The sequence below is a fragment of the Homo sapiens genome, chromosome 2, assembly GCF_000001405.40.
Source record: "Homo sapiens chromosome 2, GRCh38.p14 Primary Assembly".
NCBI lineage: Eukaryota > Metazoa > Chordata > Mammalia > Primates > Hominidae > Homo > Homo sapiens.
In genome coordinates this window covers 73,233,761-73,254,649 of record NC_000002.12, presented here as the reverse complement: position 1 = coordinate 73,254,649, position 20,889 = coordinate 73,233,761, and the positions used below count along the sequence as shown (strand labels likewise).

The 20,889-nt window shown below is 45.9% G+C and overlaps 1 protein-coding gene across 6 annotated transcripts, besides 3 other annotated features; it reads right to left on the bottom strand.

The window, feature by feature from the left end:
* Window positions 1,645-20,342, bottom strand: CCT7 (chaperonin containing TCP1 subunit 7). 6 transcript variants are annotated; one of them, NM_001166285.2, is made up of 13 exons: window positions 20,266-20,342; window positions 19,005-19,100; window positions 14,854-15,007; window positions 14,107-14,213; window positions 11,521-11,646; window positions 10,601-10,653; window positions 9,935-10,106; window positions 6,724-6,888; window positions 5,471-5,659; window positions 4,734-4,831; window positions 4,212-4,344; window positions 3,218-3,424; window positions 1,645-2,010 (listed from the first exon to the last, which is right to left on the bottom strand). In NM_001166285.2, exons 3-13 carry the CDS (start codon window positions 14,879-14,881, stop codon window positions 1,789-1,791), a joined length of 1,500 nt encoding a protein of 499 aa, NP_001159757.1. In that variant the 5' UTR covers window positions 14,882-15,007; window positions 19,005-19,100; window positions 20,266-20,342; the 3' UTR covers window positions 1,645-1,788. The 6 variants fall into 6 exon arrangements, 4 of the variants coding, with proteins under 4 accessions (NP_001159757.1, NP_006420.1, NP_001159756.1 ...); NM_006429.4 differs by lacking the exon at window positions 19,005-19,100; NR_029402.2 differs by lacking the exons at window positions 10,601-10,653; window positions 19,005-19,100.
* Window positions 20,336-20,867: an enhancer, noted in NCBI's record as "NANOG-H3K27ac-H3K4me1 hESC enhancer chr2:73460911-73461442 (GRCh37/hg19 assembly coordinates)". NCBI's record gives its function as "activates a minimal SCP1, AML or CMV promoter by ChIP-STARR-seq in primed H9 embryonic stem cells {active_cell/tissue: H9 hESC(primed)}" and the evidence as "EXISTENCE:reporter gene assay evidence [ECO:0000049][PMID:30033119]".
* Window positions 20,455-20,524: an enhancer, noted in NCBI's record as "active region_16028". NCBI's record gives its function as "activates an Ori minimal core promoter by ATAC-STARR-seq in GM12878 lymphoblastoid cells {active_cell/tissue: GM12878}" and the evidence as "EXISTENCE:reporter gene assay evidence [ECO:0000049][PMID:35858748]".
* Window positions 20,645-20,694: an enhancer, noted in NCBI's record as "active region_16027". NCBI's record gives its function as "activates an Ori minimal core promoter by ATAC-STARR-seq in GM12878 lymphoblastoid cells {active_cell/tissue: GM12878}" and the evidence as "EXISTENCE:reporter gene assay evidence [ECO:0000049][PMID:35858748]".

The window sequence follows — 20,889 nt, the reverse complement described above, 5'->3', positions numbered from 1 at the left end:
TCATCTGTGTTATCATGGTCTTTCTGCAGCTCAAGTGCAGAGAGGCAGGTAACCCAGGGGAATGAAGTATAACAAGACTTGCCAGCGGGCACAGTTGCTCATATCTGTAATCCTAGCACTTTGGGAGGCTGGGGCGGGAGAATCACTTGAGCCCAGGAATTCGAGACTAGTCTGGGCAACATAGTGAAACCCTGTCTCTGCAAGAAAAACTGAAAAATTAGCTCGGCATGTGCCTGTATTGCCAGCTCCTTGGGAGGCTGAGGTGGGAGGATATCGAGCCAGGGAAGTGGAGGTTACAGTGAGCTGAGATCACACCACTGCACACTCCAGCTTAGTTAACTGAGTGAGGCCCTGTCTCAGAAACAACAAAAACTTGCCTCAGGACTGCAGAAAAGCCACCTAGGGTGACTGTCCTGCCACCGCTCAACCCTGCTTTCAGTGTGTGTATCCAGAGGAAACGCCTTGAGATACATCATTTCTGACTCTCAGCTAGGAGAGACTACCTTCAAGGACAAAACCAGTACAACAGGGCAGCAGGCACTGCCCAGCCCCTCCCTGGCTTGACTGCCTACTCAGGAGGCTCTGGCCAGCCAATCAGGCTTTGACTGCGGGAGACCAGGTTGACATCATGGCCTGGCCTTGACTTCCTCATTTTACAAAATGTCCTTCTGCCCCTGACTTGATTCCTCAGGTCCTGAAATATTTAAAATCAGAAAAAAGAATAAGTGTTTTTAGGCTTAAACTGTGTCTCTAACATAAAAATAAACATTTAAGTCTCACTACTCTTTGAGCCAGCTACTCTTACCCTGTCATACAGGTAGAATAGCAGAGGCTCAGAAAAATTAGTCTACCTAAAGACCATCAAGTTAGGAGGAATGCCAGACTCCAAAGCCTGGACCTGCCTGCCATCCTCTGTGCTTTAGAGTCCATCTAACCAGGAGTGGCTGGGTTCAGAGAATTTTTTTTAAAAATCACTTCCCAGTTTTAGCTAGCAAGTCTCAATGGCTGACAATGACATCATCATTTACCTCCAGCTTTTAACAACGACCAACTACAGCAGGGTGCAGGCCAGCTATCAGGACCAGTGTAAATCAGGAGGATGTTAGACACTGCTGGATTTCCAGCTCATCTGTGCCAGCCATTCCAAACTCCCATTGGTCACAAGAAAGCAGAAGGACCAAGATCACTGGGGGCTGAACTGAAAAGACTAGGTGGGTGCTTTCAGTCGTCTCCTTAGTAGACTTCCAAGGGATCACTAGAGTTTAGAGAGCATAAGCCCTCCCTAAAACACCCTTCTCACAGTCTTGAGTAAGAGGGAACAAAAGACTAAACCAAAAGAATATGGAGATAGAAGGGGCAGACAAGGTAATGTAACCCATTTACTCAAACCAGAGAAACCCTGAGAGCAGTGTCTGGCTAGGCCAGGGCTAAATAAGATGATGCCAGAAGAAAGCAACTGCGTGTTGTCCAGCCACTTCTGGAACAAAGAATGCAACCACAGTGAAACTTCCAGACGGGCCACTCTAGTGGAGCTCACCCCAGGATGCTCTTGTCTCCCTGTTGGACAAGTGCATGTAAAGCTAAAATTCTGAGCTACAGCCAGACATTTATGAGTACCATGCCAAAATAATTTACAAAGTTATCTGAAGTCTTACATTTTATTTAAATAGCCTCCAGTAAGAAGAGAGTGGGCCAATTACTACCCCTTCCTTGTAAAATGAAGTAACCAAGCCAAGGAGGGTAAGTGCACCCAGCAGCCAGCCAGCCATGTGATGGGTGGGGTGCCTCTCAGTGGGGGCGGCCACGACCACGGCCCCGGCCTGCTGCTGTGGGAGCATCCACAGTCGAGCGGGGGTTCTTGATGGTTTCATCTACAGACACGATCAGGCACGCAGCCTCAGAGGCTGCTGTCAGCGCATTGATCCGCACCATAGCTGGCTCCCACACGAAAGCTTCAAAGTTGTCAGCAATGTCCTCGTTGTTGATGTCTACTCCATACCATGTACCCCCCTAAAAGAGTAGGAAAAGAAAGGAGGTAATATGGAACTACTTTCAACTTTCCTCTTGTAAACTGGTACTCCAAAAGACACTGCTAGGAACCCGCAGACTCTCTGAACTTGGTGGCATTTCGCTGAAGAATACTGCATCTTCCTATGAGCATGCCAGGAACCTGGAAACACCCCTACTCCCGCCAACTCCTCCCCTTAGCCCTGGACATACCACACAAGACCTCTGGGATCTTCTCCCAGGCAAGCTGTTGTGTTTTGGGGCGGCCCCATCCTCAGGTCACCTGAGGACTATATATATATATATATATATATATATCAAACAATGAGTTCTCAAGATAAACAGGAATAACAAAAATACTATCCCATCTTTCATCTCATTGCTTCAAATAGCCCGATTTTACAGATGAGGCAAGTGAGACACAGAGGTAAAGTGACTTTAAGCAAAAGTCCTAATACAAGCCAGAAGCAGGGTCATTCACTGGGTGCTAAGCACTTAACAAACCTCTATCTATTTAACAAATGGAGAAATTAAACTCTCAGAGAGGTTGAAGTAACTAGCCCAGGGTCACACTTGTAGGGCTCTGGAGAGCTTCACCACACCAGTAAGCCCACTCCATGTGGTCAGTATGTGCTTCCAGGAAGGTGGATGCAAGGTTCCTCCTGTGGTACCATAAGAAGCAATCATACTCTTTTTTTTTTTTTGAGATGGAGTCTCACACTACCACCCGGGCTGGAGTGCAGCGGCACGATCTCTGCTCACTGCAAGCTCTGCCTCCTGGGTTCAAGCAATTCTCCTGCCTCAGCCTCCTGAGTAGCTGGGATTACAGGTGCCCACCACCACGCCTGGCTAATTTTTTGTATTTTTAGTAGACATAGGGTTTCACTATGTTGGCCAGGCTGGTCTCGAACTCCTGACCTCATGATCCGCCCACCTCGGCCTCCCGAATGTTGGGATTACAGGCGTGAGCCACCGCACCTGGCCACGATCATACTCTTGGTAGAAGCAATGAAGAAACCCTGGATCTCCTGTGCTAGCACCATGGCTTTCCTTCTGCCCTCAGAGGAGGGAGTTGGTCAGGCAGACAGGCTGGGGGGAGTTGCAGCCTATCTCCTGGGCCAGGCGTGCACAGCTTGAGTAAGCACAGCTCACATTCAGAATCTAGCCCCACCCGCCCAAACCCTGAACCCTGGGGAGAGAAAGGACCCACCTGGGCATGCCGAGCCCGCAGCTTGTTGAGAATGTTTGTGGCATCAAAGCCAGCATTGTCACACAGCTGGCGTGGGATAATCTCCAAGGCCTTGGCATATGCCCCAATCAACAGCTGCTGTTTTCCTGGAATAGTCCTTGAGTAATCCCGCAGGTACTTGGAGAGTTCCATCTCAATGGCCCCGCCACCAGCCACCACTGAATCATTCTGCAGAGATCAGACCACCTCTCAATGTAAGAGGGCCCCTGGTCCAAGCTTCCATGCTGGGCCACTCAGTAGGTCCCTTCAGCCCAGAAAGAGTGGTTCTTCATTCCTTCCTCCATCCCAAGCCCCAAACGCCCAGACACAGCCCCTATCTAGAACATCCCAACTTCAACCTGGTGAACCTTATGGTTTCTGACTATTTTCAAGGTCACCTGCAGCTCAAGGACACTGGCACAATTACTGGAATATCTGACTACATTAGCTCCAGTTTGCTAACAAAACGAAGTCTTTTTCTTCTGCTTGCTCTGTTGCCCAGGCTGGAGTGCAGTGGTGTGATCATAGCTCACTGTAACCTCCAACTCCTGGGCTCAAGGCATCTTTCCACCTCAGCCTCCCGAGTAGCTGGGACTGACTACAGGCACATGCCACCATTCCTGGCTAATTTTTTTATTTTTGTAGAGACAGGATCTCGCTATGTTGCCCAGGCTGGTGTCAAACTCTTGGTCTTATGCAACCCTCCCATCTCGGCCTTCCAAAGTGCTGGGATTACAGGTGTGAGCTACCACGCCCGGCTAAAAGAACAAGTCTTAGCTTTCAAGGCAGGATGACCTATTTTTGAGAAACTGAGGCTCAGTTTCTCTACCATTTGTGGGGCAAATCAGGGCTCACCACACCACCCAGGAAAGGGCAGGTTATATAGAGAAGGAATCACCACACAAATCCAAGGTCTGATCAGCTAGGGAGATAGGAGAGAGTAGGCTGTGCAAGCAGGAGGATATCAGCCCAGTACCTTGATGGCCCTCCTGACGATCATGATGGCATCATGCAGGGACCGCTCTGTCTCCTCCATAAACTGCTCGGCGCCGCCACGGAGAATGAAGGTGCATGTCTTGGCCTTGGGGCAGCCAGTAAAAAAATTGTACCTATGCCCAGGATTAAACAGTACACACATGAACTCTTGTCTGCCACCATCCTACTGTATTGTCCTCACTGCCAGCCCCCCCAACACTCAGCAGCTGCTCTTACATTCTTCACTCAGGTTACCCAATCCCAACCTTATAGACATTTTCTTGGAAAGGTCTGCAGCTGTACCACTAGGGCATAAAAGATTGTGGAGTCAAGGCTTTTAGATCTTCCTGTAATCCTGTATATTATCTGAGCTCTTTATGGCTCAAAGGTGAGACTCTGTAAAAGCTGTATACCACTTTGTACACAAAGGTGAGACTTTGTAAAAGCTGTATACCACAGCCAAAAGATGGCAGAAGACCAGACCCAGGCAGGTTTGTGAGCTCGGCCTGGGCCCACGGCTCACCTCTCGCCTCCAATCTGGGTCTCTTCAAACACCTGGCATCGACCCAGCACATCTGCTGACAGAGCATTCACACTGGTCTGGATTGAGCCTCCACAGGCCTAGGGAGCAAGGAAGGCAAGATCTAGCAGTGAAGGTTCCCGAGGCCAGGCAGCTTCCTGCCACCTCGTCTCAAAGCCAATTCCCACGCATGCCCCCAGAGCCTCTACATTACCCGCCCTTTCCCTTGACTTCCAGGCGACCCTTCCCCCTCTCTGAAAGAGCAAAAAAAAAACAAAATAGAACTAAAACACATCAAAGGCAAACAGAAGAAGTTAAAAGGAGATAGGGACCCATTCAATTCAGCTTATACTCCCTCCCCTAAACTAGGGTGGCACTGGGTCCAGCAACTGAACTCAGGAGTACTTTAAACCTAAAAGTATCTTTTGTGGGATGCTCATGAAAGGGAAAAAATCTGGCTGGAAGAATCAATATTTGAGTTTGTCCAGCTAATCATAGCATTACTGCTAGGTTCTCTCACAAACCAGATTTCTGGACTTGTTTTGGTTAGACTAAAGTAGTTTGTGCTACTGGGCACACACACATGGAAATGGAATGTGTCCTGGAAAAAAAAGAGTTAAAAAAAAAAAACAGGGCTCAATTCACACGCCAACCTGACAGTACACTCTGTTATACCAGGGGTCAGTGAAAACCCTTCAGGGCCACAAAGGCCGAGAAGCAGCCTGTGAAAATCTGGTTACCATCATTGTCCTCTTCAGATCCTCCTCAGGTACTCGGCCAGCACAGAACATGTCCCTGTCAGCAAAGTACTGGGTGGCCACATCCCCAATGGGGAGTTTGGACAAGACAACTTTGGCTCCAGAATGATGGATCTTCTCTAACTTGTCATAGAGAATGTTCCACTCAGCATCAACAATTGCCTGATAATCCTGGAGAGACCCAGAAAAGGATGAGAATGCTTTGGGGTGAAGGTTGACATATACGGTAGGGTAAAATATACCCATCTGCCCCCACCAAATAAAACATGCTGATTCATCTGGGAATTAACAGAGATAAACAGAATAGCTACTCCTCAGTCCAAGCAAATAAGGACCCCATGAGATGACTTAGGAATCACCTGAAACTCCCCAACACAAAAGCAGAAAGTAACCCCAAGGCTGAGAACCACAGCTGGTGCTGTCCAGATGCGAGAAATAGTTTAAACTGGCTGAGGTCTAGACTCTTCTGAGGTGCTGGATTCATGGAGTTCCCAATAAGACCCCTTTGGCCGGGCACAGTGGCTCATGCCTGTAATCACAGAACTTTGGGAGGCCAAGGCAGGTAGATCACCTGAGGTCAGAAGTTCAAGACCAGCCTGGCCAACATGGTGAAACCCTGTCTCTACTAAAAATACAAAAAAAAATTAGCTGGGCATGGTGGCACATACCTGTAATCCCAGCTACTCAGAAGGCTAAGGCAGGGGAATCACTTGAACCCAGGAGGCAGAGGTTACAGTGAGCCGAGATTGCACCACTGCACTCCAGCCTGGGCAACAGAGCGAGACTCCGTCTTAAAGGAAAAAAAAAAAAGACCCCTTCCCCAAGAACTGCTCAAAGGTGGGTGACATGGCTACCTCCAGAGGTAGCCTGGGTAACATCAACAATGAGAGCACACCTGTCTCTGCAGCACTAGGTCTAGTCTAGAAGTGGAGGAACTCACACTTGCACCAACAAGAGGAACCAAAATACCGGGCAGGCTATGTAGCTAGAGAGTCCCTGCCATCCCCTTCCCCAGGACCACAGCGTATTTCAACAGGTGTTCCCTATCCAAATTTCCTCAGGTCAAGGTCACTCAGGGAGAACACAGAGTATGGAAAGAAGGGGGCCTAGTACTTAGACATCAATATTCAGGGGGGCAGGAAGAGAAAGGGGCCCACAATAGCCATGAAGACCCAGGGCTCTGGCTCAGAAAGCTGCCCATTTCCATGCCCCCACCAACTGGTGAACCCACCTACCTCAACTGTGTGGACTCTTATCTCAGCATTGTCTTTCTCAGCTTTCAACTCGAGCTCGACATTCAAAAGGGCAATCTTGGGATTGTGGTACTTTTTGGGTTGCATTTCAAACCCAGCGTAAGAGAAAGTCTTCTTGAATGCAACACCAGCTACCAGCTGAGAATCCTGTTTTAAAAAAACAAACACTTTAATGGTTTGGTACTAACATGAAATAAAATCAAGCTAGTTGTTTGCTGGCTAGTGCTTATCCATTCCTGTGAGCCTGAGCTAATCATGTCTTTATTTCACTGCTGTAACACAGCCTTTCTGTTATCATAAAATCGAAGACAAATCCTTTTTTTTTTTTTTAAATAACACAACATATTATTTCAGTCACCCCTTAAGCATAAGGAAAATCATCTGGTTAGCAGAGGCAAAGCATGGTAAAGGCCTACTGGGCTGTCCTCTAAGACTGGCCTCTGCAGCACTGGCCGATGGATAATGCTGTACAAACTTCCAAAAAGTATGCCAGAAGAGGAGCCAGGTGTTTACAAAGAAGGCAAAACAAAAGCTGTGCAATGCTACCCTCTTCTATGCCCCAGCTCCCAAATCTCAAGTATCCTCCTGTACACCTCCATGTACCCATAATTTGCACTGCACCCTCCACCCCCACACCCCCAACAGCATGGATACTATAGCCTTGACGCTTCCTCCCTCCAGAAGATGATGCCAAAAGGTCTTAAGAATCAGAAATCCCCTGCATAATTTCTAAGCTATCACTGCAGCTCCTCAGACCTCAATCCCTCAAGGTAGGGATCTTCTACCACTTGTTCTGCAACAGAGCTTCTCTGTGGGTTGGATTTAACAGCAGGGCATAATAGAAAGCACACTGCACCCAGGGCTGACTCAGCACTACCGTGAGACTTAGGTTCCAATCTCAGATCTTTTCCTTACTAAATGACCGAGTCATTTCCCACACCATAAAAAAGGGTATTCAGTTCAATAACCTTTAGTTTCTCTGCCAGTGCTCATCTACAATTCTAATCTATAATACTGTAACCCATGGGTGAAGAGTATCTGTCCCCAGTTCCTGCATCATTCAAATCCACAGCTTCCTAAAGGGAGTGATGCCTGAGCTGAATGACAGATGAGCAGAAATTAGTCAAAGAGAAAAAAGGAAAAAAGGGGTTCTCCTAAGAGGTGGGAGGCAGTGTTGTGGAATCAGAGAATGAAAAGCCATTTGAAGTTGCTAGAATTTAGAGGGTAAGAACCAGCCAGTGAAGAAGAGAGAGGGGAAGTAGGCAGGGGCCAGTTTAGAAGGATCTTACAGGCTTTGTTAATGCCTGGCTTTGTATAGGGAATGTAGATATCAGAAGGCTTTACGCAGAAGAATAAAGTAGGAAACTTCACCCTGCAAATAGTAAATAAGTACAATGGATTTAGGGGATCCAAGACTGGAAGAGGGGTGGCAATAGTACCAGAAAGAGTAAAAGAGACAGACTCAATAAATAATTAGGAAATCACGAGGTAAAATGGAACAATGGTAATTGACAGGCTGGAGTCAGAAGGGTTTTCAAGGATGATCCCAGATTTCTGGTTTGAGTGACTGAATAAACGGTGGTGACACCAACTATGACAAGAAATACAGAAAATGCTATCACAGGAGTGGAGGACAAGATAAAGCGTTTAACAGCAGTTAGACACAAGAAAGAGCATGAGGCTCAGAGGAGAGGTGAGTACTAAAGATATGGATCAGAAAATTCCCAGTTAACCCTGGTAACAAGTAAATAATCACTACCACTATTTATTGAATTCTGGGTCAGGTTTGTATGTATTTAACGAATGTAGGACAGTCTCGGAAAAACGCAAGTGTGGCTTAGAGTCCCTGGCTCTCTTGCCAGGTAAGATTATTAGTCCTGATTTCTAATCTATGTAGATTAGAAATGGATGCCATTTCTAGATTAGAAGTGGATGCCAATCTAATCTCAACCATTTATGGAAGTAGGAAGGCCCAAGAGAAGATGAAAAATCGCTACTAAAGCAGTGAGTAAAGACAAAGTCAGCAAGCCATGATGAAGATAGGGAAATGGCTCAGATGACCTCCAGGTTCCTCACAGCTTTATTACATACAGAGAATCTCAGCCCACTGGTCTGACATGTGCCACAATAGGAGGGGAAATGGCAAAGTGGGAATGCAATTTGGGAGGGTAAAATTTAAAGAGAAGGGCCAGGCTATCTTTCAAGCTGGTCCTCCTCTATCCAAATCGCTTCAGTTGAGGTCACTGACGAAGAGTAATAAGTAAAGCAGGCCAGAGACTGAAAAGGCCAAAAGCAGCATGGAGATACCAAGGACGTTTCCAGACAGATACTACTGTGTTAAAAAGAAGGAGTTGTGCTGTCCAAGACAGTAGCCACTAGCTACATGTTGCCATTTAAATGGAAATAAAATTAAGATTCAGTTCTTCAGTTACATTAGTTGCATTTCAGGTGCTCAGTAGCCAAGTGTGGATGGGGCTATCATATTGGACAGCGCAGATATGTAACAGTCCCACCACCCTACAGAAAGCTCTACTGGAGGGTGCTGAGTTAAGAGCTACACACGCTAATGTGGATCAATTTCTAAAATATGTTGTTAAATGGACAAAAGCAAGCTACAGAACACTATATAAGCAATCTTTTGTCTTTAAAAAACAGTATTTACATACATGTTCATATATGCACAAAGTAATTCTGCAAGGATACACACAAACTAATAGTGGCTGTATATGGGGCAGGGGTAGTGCATGAAACACTTTTAACTTTAGGCCCCTTCACAGTTTGAAATATGTATCATCTATTCAAGATAAATGAATGAAAGAAGGGCAAGCTTAACAGTATCACTTAGGAGTAAGCAGTGAACTGAAAAATCCCTCTCAGATGTATTAATTGGGAGGTCATTGATGATTTGAGCTAGTCCTACTACCCCTCCACCACCCACTGACACAGAGAACCTGAGATTCTGAAAATCATACAGTCCAATTTTCTACTCTGCTGACAAATAATATCCACAGAGGTTACCAAGTTCATCTAGTAACAGCCTCTAATGGCAGTATGGAAAGTACAATGTAAGTCTGACTTCCTGCCTAACATGCATTCTCTTTATTCCTGTAATGAGTACCCCTCTGCCATATGAAGCTGTCTGAAGGGTCAATATGAAAGCAAGAGCTGTCTAGGAAGGCCACAGCAGGCTTACCTCGAGGGCTCCACCCTGTACCTTCTTGATTCCAATCATTTTAAGCTGCAGCAAATCATCGAGCATCATCACTGCATCCACCACCATCTTAGCAAAGAAAGCTTTCTGCTGGGAGATCAGCTTGGAGCTCAGAGCGGTCATGGCACACTTTTCCAGCAGCTTCCTCTGCTCCCTGGGACACAAGGGCAGAATCTGCATCAGGTCTTGAAAACCAAATCCCTCTTATCTGATTCTACTACAGTGTGGAGGTAGTTCCCTTCCAGTCTCTAAACTCAGCCCTCTCCAACTTCACCTTTTGTATCTTTAGGGCAGATTATCAGTGACAGATGGTGACTGCAGTCAAAGATCTCATATGTGGCAGCTTTTAAACTACAGTCGACAGCTTCTTTTGTGCTCTGTGGGCTGGGACACAGCCAAGGGTCTGGCAGGAGCCAAACAGCCCCAGGCACATAGAGGGATTGCAGCATGCTTCTGCATCCAATTTGGCCACAGGAAGTCAGTCAAGGTTCTGACAAAGGCCTGACACGGTGACTCACACCTGTAATCCCAGCACTTTGGGAGTCGCAGGTGGGAGATCACTTGAGCCAGTAGTTCAAGACTAGCCTGGGCAATACAGCAAGGCTCCGTCTCTTTAAAAAAAAAAAAAAAAACCCACTACAGACTTACACTTTATCTGCCTTCTTCACGGTCACAGCAATCTCTTTGATCTTGTTAACTGCCTGCCAAGAACAGAAGTTGAATGAGTCTCTCATGCTAAAGACAAACTGCTGAAGTGGACCTCAATCTCTCAATAGTCCTGAGTCTGTTCACTCCCAAATCCTAAGCATTTCTACTCTACAGCTGAAAAAACACTTCTAGGTCTTGTAACTGCTCAGAAAAATGTAAAACTCTATAGTTCAGAAAATTCCAAGTCAGAAATGCAGAGTGGGTATACAGTTCTGAAGAATCAGGGTGCTTCCAAGATTTTGCTCTGGGTCTGCAGGTAACACGCTACAACGAATGAGTGGAAACAGCTGTGACACGAGATTAAGCCAAACCTCCTGGTTTACTAAAAACACCTACGACAACTTCTAGCACTTTATATATTAGTTATATATAAAATATGCATACAAATATATAAACTTTTTATTTTTTTCCAAAGTACTCCTCATATATTATTTCATTTTAATGTCACCACTCAAATTAGAGATAGCAAAGAAAGTAAGGCCTAGAAAGATTAAATGACTTGCCCCAGATCACAAATGAAGGTTAGAGGGCAAATAATAGCTAGGTCTCAATATACACCATGAGGTGCTTGAGTATAGCATGTAGTAGTAGTATGCCATGAGTCTCTTAGTCCTTACTAAAAGACTATGTCTACATCATAGTCTACCAGGCTGACTCTAACCTGAGGCTTAAAGAGATTAAGTAATACACCTCATCAAATGGCTACAGATTAGTAGAACTGAGATTACTAAGGAGATGTCAGAAAATGCCCAAAGTACCCTGTTCCCCAGTCCCTCCACACTCCTGAAAAGAAATTCCCCTTCCTAAGAGAAATGTGAAGGTGTCCAGGCCCAAGAGAAGGTTAATCAGTACTGCCATACCAGCTGGGTGGCTGTGCGGAAAGCTCGAATGATGATCTGGGGGTGTAAACCTTCCTCCACATAGGGTTTCACCTGCTTCAGAAACTCTGCAGCCAGCAAGGTCACTGAGGTGGTGCCATCACCCACCTGGAAGATGATGACAGGAAATACACGTTTTCTGATGTTCAGGGAATAAAGCCCTGAAACTCCATTTTTAGGCACGCTACCCATTTAAACTGAATATTATTTAAATGGATGTCAAGCTTTTTTCTGGAAGCACAGGTTTTTGCAATAAGTAGAAAGAAGCTAATGGTAGTTACATATCCATCATGTCAAACAGTCCTGGGCTACCAAATTAATTCCCCAGACAGCCCCATTCTCTAAAGAGGGCTGATGTGGACAATCAAATGTCCTCAGGGTAAAAAATTACACACATGAACTGAGAACTTATGTTACGTACAAGGCATTGTGATGAATAAAACAGTCCTTGTCATGCTTATTGTAATACAATACTTAAAATAATCATGGTACCAAGAAGCAAGAGACAAACATTGTTTAAGAAGCAAAAGGTGGCTGGGCACGGTGGCTCACACCTGTAATCTCAGCACTTTGGGAGGCTGAGGCAGGTGGATCACCTGAGGTCAGGAGTTCAAGACCAGCCTGGACAACACGGTGAAACCCTGTCTCTACTAAAAATACAAAAATTAGCTGGGCGTGATGGCGGGCGCCTGTAATCCCAGCTACTCAGGAGGCTGAGGCAGGAGAATTGCTTGAACCTGGGAGGCAGAGGTTGCAGTGAGCCAAGATCGCACCACAGCACTCCAGCCTGGGCGACAGAGTGAGACTCCGTCTCAAGAAGCAAAAGGTACTGCAGGAGTTCCTTTCTTTTTTAATAGAGAAAGGGTCTCCCTATGTTGTCTAGACTGGTTTTGAACTCCTGGCCTCAAGCAATCCTCCCACCTCGGCCTCCCAAAGTGCTAGAATTACAGGCATGAGCCACTGCATCTGGCCAGGAGTTAAAAAAAAAAAAAGGTAACTTTCAGTCAAATCACACTAAAACAAACGTCCTAGGACCAGCCAAAGTTCTTTATATTTCAAAAACTATGAGGAGGCCAGGCACGGTGGCTCATGCCTGTAATCCCAGCACTTGGGGAGGCCGAGGCGGGCTGATCACCTGAGGTCAGGAGTTCGAGACCAGCCTGGCCAACATGGTGAAACCCCGTCTCTACCAAAAATACAAAAATTACCCGGGCGTGGTGGTGGGTGCCTGCAATCTCAGCTACTCGGGAGGCTGAGGCAAGAGAATTGCTTGATCCCAGGAGGCGGAGGTTGCAGTGAGCCAAGATCACACCATTGCACTCCAGCCTGGGCAACAAGAATGAAACCCCCTCTCAAAAGAAAAAAAAAAAAAACTACTGGGAATAAGCAGATTACTAGTCTGCTAATCTTTTTTAGATGGTGCTTTTCTGTGATGGGATCTAAATCCTATTTAATGAGGGTGAAAAAGAAAAAGAGCTTTCTAAGAAAATTGGATAAACTCTAAACTGGAAGAAATTTATTTCGGTAGAGATGGGGTCGTGCTGTATTGCCCAGGCTGATCTCAAACTCCTGGACTGAAGGGATCCTCCCACCTTGGCCTCCTAAAGTAATGAGACACAAGCATGAGCCACCATGCTCAGCCCAGAAATTTATTTTTAACTTCATGTATGTTCACTGTGTAAGGTAAGAAATTCTCAAGGGGCAAAAAAAAAAAGGTTACTATAGAGAAGGTTTAAGTGGGCAGATTTCTGGACCAAAAGGCATTATTCCCTCGTTGAAGACAAAAACAAATCAAATCCAGACTCTTCTCTCTTTAATTTTATATATGCTATACCTGTTTTATAGGCTTGGCTCCTAATAAACCTTTTAACGTAACTTCAAGACATACCTGTAGTATACATATTTTGCAGTACTCTAAAATACAAAACCTATCTGTCAACACATTTATTAATACTCCAGTGTTAGAATTTATTTTTAAAAGATAGACTGGTTAATGCCATGAATTATACACTTAAACATGGTATTAAGAATAAATATTATGTCTGTTTTATCATCAGTTTAAAAAAAAAAAAAAAAAAGCCTGGTGTAGTGGGGAATGCCAGTAGTTCCAACGACTAAGGAAGCTGAGGTGAGAGAAGGCTTGAGCCCCGGAGTTCAAGGCCAACCTGGGAAACATAGTAAGACCCTATCTCTTTAAAAAAAAAAAAAAAAGAAAGAAAGGCAGATTGGAAGTCTTAGTTTACAGCCCCATTTTGTAAGAGATGAGAAGTCAAATTATTTAACCTAGCAACTCACACAAATGACAGCACACAACCTGTTAAGATCTCAGGCAGTAGACTTATATCTAAAGACTGTTGTCATTCACCAATGTATTAATGGATATGAAAAGCTACATGTAACGAAATAGTATGAATTTTAAAAGGCTGTTAATTCTAAATACTTTTATAAGCATGTATTACTTGTACAATTATAATTATATAAAATCTTAAAAAAATTTAATAGAGGAGAACTAAGGAGCAAGCAAGCATGTGTTTCAACCTCCATTTAAACACACAACTATTTTCCTACCTCAGCATCTTGGGATTTGGCAATGTCTACCAAAGTCTTTGCTGCAGGATGGACAACATCAAGAAGTTTCAGAATTGTGGCCCCATCATTAGAAATTGTTGCTTTGCCTTAAAAGAAACAAACAAAAATCTAAAGCCCCTTTCTTAAATGCTGTCTTCAAGTGGGACCTAGAACCCATCTACACTTTACTGGGATGGGGCAGAGGGGATCACGGCAGGGCTGAAGGGAAAGGATACCTATCTGATCTTTCTATACAGAATTAGCTCTGTACACAAAGGGTCTAAAATCACAAGCTTTTGCAGACCACAGACTCCCAATTTTCCTTGAAGAGCAATTAATACAGGTCAACTGGATACAGAAAAGATTTTTTAAATAAAAGTAACCACTTAGATATTCTTACCACAGTTGATACCCTCACACATCAATTAATATACCAAGATATAAACAGGAATTTTCTCATCTTGATAACAATGGAAGTGAACACAGGAAACTCCAGATGGTTCTATTTCATGTTTCTAGGCCACGTCTCCCTATGAGGCAACAGGCTCCTGAGCCTAGGTTCTCTCATATAGTCCCACACGGGCTCAGCAGTCAGGACAATATAAGAATTGGAACTGCTTCAGAGTGAGTCATCTTTCAACGATCTTAAAAGCAGTGGGATTTCTGATACCAACCTATGCTAGTCCCAAACACCCCCTCAGGAGCCTCCTTTCCTGCACACAGGCCTGAGGAACTCTGTAGACTTACCTCTGCCATCTACAATAAGCTTGTCCATGCCACGGGGACCCAGGGTAGTTCTTACAGCCTCAGCAATCACCTGGCAGGCACTGATGTTACTCACAAGCTGGGGGATGCCTTGGGAGCTATCAGTCCCCTCTTTCAATAGGATAACTGGTGTGGGCTAGAAAAGAAAGAAATTAACTGCTTTTAATAATCATCTATTATAATGAGACTGGCAGGGGAAAGGGGAAAATGCTCCCATCTCTCCCTTAACAGAATTATCTAGAGGTCTTCTTAAACCACATTCCCCCAACTGTCTACCACATCCATTCCCCAACCAGCCTCTACCTCCAGAGACACTATCAAATTTAGCCTACCCTGCAGGTATGCTAGACAGGAAAATGGTTTGAGAAGCACTGACCTAATCTAAAAGAAAAAATCATGAGTTCTCCAGTACCCAGCTGAATGACCATGGCCTTTTCAACTTCTGACCTTACTCCCTGTGCTGAGGAATTGGGTCACAACACAGGAGGAAGAGGCAGACCCTGCTAAGTGTTCATTCCGCAGCAAAACATCCACTTGTCTGTGTTACAGCTCAATCTTAGAGAAGCAGATGGGACACTGATGCAAAATGCAAGATGCCAAGAGCTTGAGGTGTTGTCCTAGAGATGCCTAGGCAGTCAGCTTTATGTAACAGTGATGTTCAGCTGCAGTGTAGGAAAACAGGCAGAGAAACAAACAGCACCTTTGCCCTGTTTTGAAAAATGATGGCAAATCTAATTCATACAGCAATGTTTCCATCTCTCATGCTGGCTGAATAAAGCTTCTGTGTGACTAATTTCCAATCAGATACCCCAAAGAAGTTTTCCTCTTTCTATATTGCATTGGTCTCCAGAACATTCCCTATCCCCGTAAGGGCTTCATTTGCAGACCTGCTTTAGAAACTGAGAAACAGGGATACTTGCTTGTTTTAAAGGGCCCGCTCAGATATCTTTGCTCTAGTGACCACCATTATTAGCAGAGAGAGCAATTTCTCAGCTTAGCAAACCAGACTACTTTCTCTCCACATTCAAATCTGAGCCTTCAGAGATAAGCCCACGAACTAGATCCAGTCTTCTCAAGTGTTTCTGGCTAATTTTGTGTGTGACACAGAATGTAGTAAGGATAAATACTATTTCAAAACTTTTATTGTGTTAAATTTGTTACTAGGCTATGATTAAAAATGTATTTCTTACTGTGGAATGCAATAAAAAGTTTGAAAGCCATCACCTAGTCCTTAGAGGTACGTGGATGTCTGAGCAAGGAAGGCACAGGAAAGCACAGAGCTTTCCCAACCTAACAATGAGGAGTGAGGAATTCCTGCCAAAGACAGAGTCTTGCCACTCATGAGGCTGATTCCTTATTAACTGGTCAATTCCTTAAAAAGTTCAACTCTTTTGGCCAGCGCAGCTGGAGGGTAGTAAGCAAGAGGAAGACTGGAATAAAGCTGAAGAGGCAGGCAGGAACCAGATCACATACACACTCGTAGACACACTATGGTGAGGAGTTCAGATTTCATTCCTAAAAAGGAAAGCCCTGGGAAGCTTTCAGCAGAGGAATGGCATACTGTGATTTACATAAAAAACAAAAACCACTGTAGAAAAAAGAGGATCACTTGAGCTCATGGAGTTCAAGACCAGCCTGGGGAACATGGCAAGACCCTGTCTCTACAAAAAGAAAACGAAAAATACCCAATAAACTCTACGGAATAAGAGAGTGGGAGTAATTTAATATATTATTCATTTTTTAATATATATTTCTAAGAGACAGGGTCTTGCTCCACCACCCATGCTGGAGTGCAGTGGTGAGATCATAGCTTACTATAAGCTCAAGCCTCCTGAGTAGCTGGACCGCAATGCATGAGGTACCACACCTGGCTAATTTTTTAAATTTGTATTTAAAAAATGTTGCCCAGGCTGGTCTCCAACTCCTGGCCTCTAACAACCCTCCTGCCTCAGCCTTCTGAAGTGCTAGGATTACAGGCATGAGGCACCATGCCAGGCCCTCATTAAATTTTTTTAAATGCTTGTCAAATAATCATACATTACTCCTTTTATTTTTTATTTTAAAAAGAATGCTTGTCATGTAAACCCCTACATTTGGGATCAGGCGTCAACTGAAGGGAAAATTCCTTCCTTTTGCTGGAGTGTCCCAGGTCTGGTGGCAAGAAATGGCTTCTCTATACTCCCAGCATTCTTTCTGGCTCTTCAGCTGGCCCAGTCCCTGGCACCTTCTGTAAGGGAAAGATGTGTGTCCTGAAAGGCCCTACCATCTCCCAGTCTTGCTAAATCATTCCTTATGGCAGCCCCAAGTCTTCTCTGGTCCACCCCTGCCACGGATGGAGTCTTACACTTTAAATCAAAAACTAACATGAGTCTCAATCACTTCCTATCACCTTCAACAGGTTCTTTCACCTCAACAGGTTAACTTACCCAATGCTTGTGTATACTTTTTCTCACCTCAACCTGCAAAGTGTACCCCCATCTAAAATAGTCACTCTGCCATCTTCTACCAAAACCACTTTCTCACCACCAGGCCACCAATTCCTCAGAGCTCCAATTCTTCCAAGAAGTTTTCTCTACAGTAATAAACAAGGGCATCTGAATAGGGGAATCCCATAACTTTCTCTTCACTTGCCCTTGCTCGCAACTTTTTATCACCATCCAGCTTAAGTACAAGCTTTCCAAAGACAAGGACCAAAATAACCTTAATTTGAAGAGTGCCAAGATTTGGCCACACATGAAGCAATATTCAGCAGCTTTTGGGGCTGAAAATCCAACTGCTACTTGTAAGTGCTTGACAGCACTGGCTTCTTGACTTTTGGGGAGAAAAGCACTGGCACTACAGTAACACTACATTTACTGAGAGTTCTTAAGCACAATGCAAGAAGAGCTTGGAAGCAGCTAACCACAGATTCCCCAGGTTCCCTATGCTTTGCAGGCCCTGAAGAAACAGCAGGCTGGGTAGAGAGCATCTATGGGGTGGAAAAGGTGGCAGAGCTGGATTGAGTCAAGCCAAGACAAGCAGGATAGGTCCTCTTCTAACAGTTCCCCAGCAGCAGGCACTGTATGCAAAGTCCAGTTTCCATCCCTTAGTTACTTTCAACCTCGCTCCTTTTTTTTATTCCTCTAATAAATAAGAAACAAGGTCGGGTGCGGTGGCTCACGCCTGTAATCCCAGCACTTTGGGAGTCCAAGGTGGGTGAATCACAAGGTCAGGTGTTCGAGACCAGCCTGGTCAACACGGTGAAACCCCGTCTCTACTAAAAATACAAAAATTAGCCAGGCGTGGTGGCGTATGCCTGTAATCCCAGCTACTTGGGAGGCTGAGGCAGGAGAATTGCTTGAACCTGGGAATGGAGGTTGCAGTGAGCCAAGATGGTGCCACTGCACTCCAGCCTGGGCAACAGAGCAAGACTCCATCTCGGGAAAAAAAAAAAAGAAAAAGAAACAAGAGCAGACTCCAGTAATTGGCCACAGGTATAATGGAAGGTTTTGGAATTTCAGCTTACTGATCTTCCTCTTCATCCTACTTTAAAACTTTCACTAAGCATCATTAAGCTTAATGGCTTACAAAACAAGTGTGTCTATGCCAAGGCACACAGCGCTCAACGCCACAAAGGCAAGGACATACATTTTATGCAAGCTGTACCAACATCACAGGACTGAGGTTTCAGGGGACCTTTTCACCTCTCTTTCGATTACAGAAGTATTCTAGAATATCAGGGGCCAATTTGAAGACAGGAAGACTCTTGGAGATAGAAGTTTCACATTCCAAAAATGGGGAGGAGATATCAAGAGCCAATACAGCAGGGAAACGTCAATCTGACAGAGGAGGGGTCAGTTCAGGGAAAATCCAAGTGTGATGATCTAGAGCCCACTGGTGAAGTTTTATCACGGCAGAGAATGGCGGTTCTGATCCCTAGCTGTGTGAATGTGAACCAAAGCTCTTACGGAAGCCCTGGCAGCGGGATGGACTGATTTCAGAGATGAAAGGAAGCAAACAACCACCTCGCCGAGTAAGAGCTAACATTGCTGAGTGCTTACTATCTGCTAGGCACACTGACAAACTGAGAACCAGAAATTAAATAACATGCTCAAAGTCACACAGCTAGTAAGTGGCAGAGCTAAGTTACAAACCTAGGCATTCAGTGTAGCTCCAGAGGCCTTACTCTCAACTGCTGTACTATGCTGCCTCTGCACAGAAGATGAAGACGACTTCAAGAATGAGCAATGCTAGAGACATAAAGGGGAGAGGAAGTACTGTTAAATGCTAATTTCCTTCTACCTTGGGTACAAGCGGGATTCATAGGGCATTTGGTAGAACACCTAAAAGGTGTCTGCGTCCCTAACAGGACAGAGAAAAGCTGCAGGAAGCAGGAAAAGAGCAGAAGATAGAGTCGGACAGGCCAAAATGAATAAGTGAACTGCCAAGTGCACAGAAAGCAGTATCTCAGTCAGGGTCAAACACCACCTCGGAAGCTGGCCCTACTCAATAACAACCCAGGAGATACCATCGAGGCTTGGGACCCACGGAAAGTATCTAAAGCTCCGAGAGACAGAGAAAAGAAGTGTGGGAAGTAGGGCTACAAGGAGCACTTTAGGTGGCTCCAGGACTCACAGCAACTCCCTCGCCCCAAATTTCAAGAAAACGAGACCCAGAGTTAGGTAGCCAACTAGAAAAGCCTTTCTTATGTCACCAGAGTCCGAGCCTGGGTCTTCCCACCTCCGATACAGTGTCTCCATCTACCTTTCCCGTTCTCCTGGCTGAGAGGCTGCAACCCCCAGCAACCACCAGGGCCTGGTACATTCAGTAGGCACTAAAGACGCGTTTATTTAATGACTGAGCGAATGAGTGAATGAATTAAAAGTACTAGGGAAGGCGTCTGCTTCTCTGCACGCTGCGGTGAGGGTCAGCGAGTGAACATAGTGAGTCCCTAGGCGGGCACAATATGAGGTCCCCAATGTGCCTGTGCCGGTTCCAAGAAGCACACGTCTTTACAGCCCGCAAATCTCAGAGCAGCCCCAGCTTCCAAGTCTAGCTGCCGACCGCGTAACCACGGCCGACCTGCACTCGTTTCACGCAAGTCCCGATCATGCGGGGCTAAAAAAGAGGTCCCCGACGTGGGTTCGCGGGCCCGAAGCACCCTGGGACTTGTAGTCCCCAACCGGCCAGCCCAGAGACTCCTCTAAAGCCCCACGCAGCCCTCGCCAACGGCTCCAGCGCCGTGCTCGGGCCGAGCCAGGCCGCGGCTGGCTGGGGTCGCCCCTAAGCTGGGGATCTGGGCGAGGACAGAGGCGGCAAGCAAAAGAGGGTCCTACAGAGCAAGCCCAGGCCGAGCGGCGCCGGCCACCGGCCAGATGGCAGCTGATGGCGACGGATGCGCGAGACGCCACTCACCATCATTTTGGAAGCTTATTCAGCGGCCCGCCACTCTCCCCTCTTCTCCGAGACCGGGCCGCCCAGCAACCCACAATGCCTCGCGCAATAGAAATACCCAGAAGCTTGGGCCGGGAGAGGAAGAGAACGGACCACTTCCGCTACTCTATGGTTCGTTACCACCGACTCGGTGCGGCTAGAAGGACCTGAGGCTGGGCTTCGGGGACTCTCTAGTGAGGGGCGTTCATTAAAGAGGGGTCGCCGCATTTCGGTCGTGCTTCTTAGAGCACGGAGGGTCTTTGCTCGGCCCGCATCACCTACTAACTTAATTCCACCCTCCTCCATCCCCGGACGCCAGACCAAGGAATGCAATAAAGGCAAAAGTGTGGGACGCAAAGTGTGGGATAGGCTGGTGCCAAAGCACTTTACGTGAGCGATCTCATTTAATCCTCACAACCCTATTGCGTTGGTCCTATTAAGGCCATTTTACTGATGACAGAAAGGAGGCTGAGAGGTCAAGGTGTCCAGTGTCACAGTTACATAGTCAGTGTCAACGGGACGAGCGTGGGAAGCTGCCCCCAATGCCCGTTTTCTGGCTTTGCACTGGCCAGAGGCTCCTCGTGGATGGCGTGCGCCAGGCCGCGG

Coding starts and splice junctions, on each gene's coding strand:
- CCT7 (NM_006429.4), bottom strand. Junction 11,647..14,106: donor CCAAATCCCAAGATGCTGAG/GTAGGAAAATAG, acceptor ATCATCTTCCAG/GTGGGTGATGGCACCACCTC. Junction 4,832..5,470: donor ATCTGAAGAGGACAATGATG/GTAACCAGATTT, acceptor CTTGCTCCCTAG/GCCTGTGGAGGCTCAATCCA.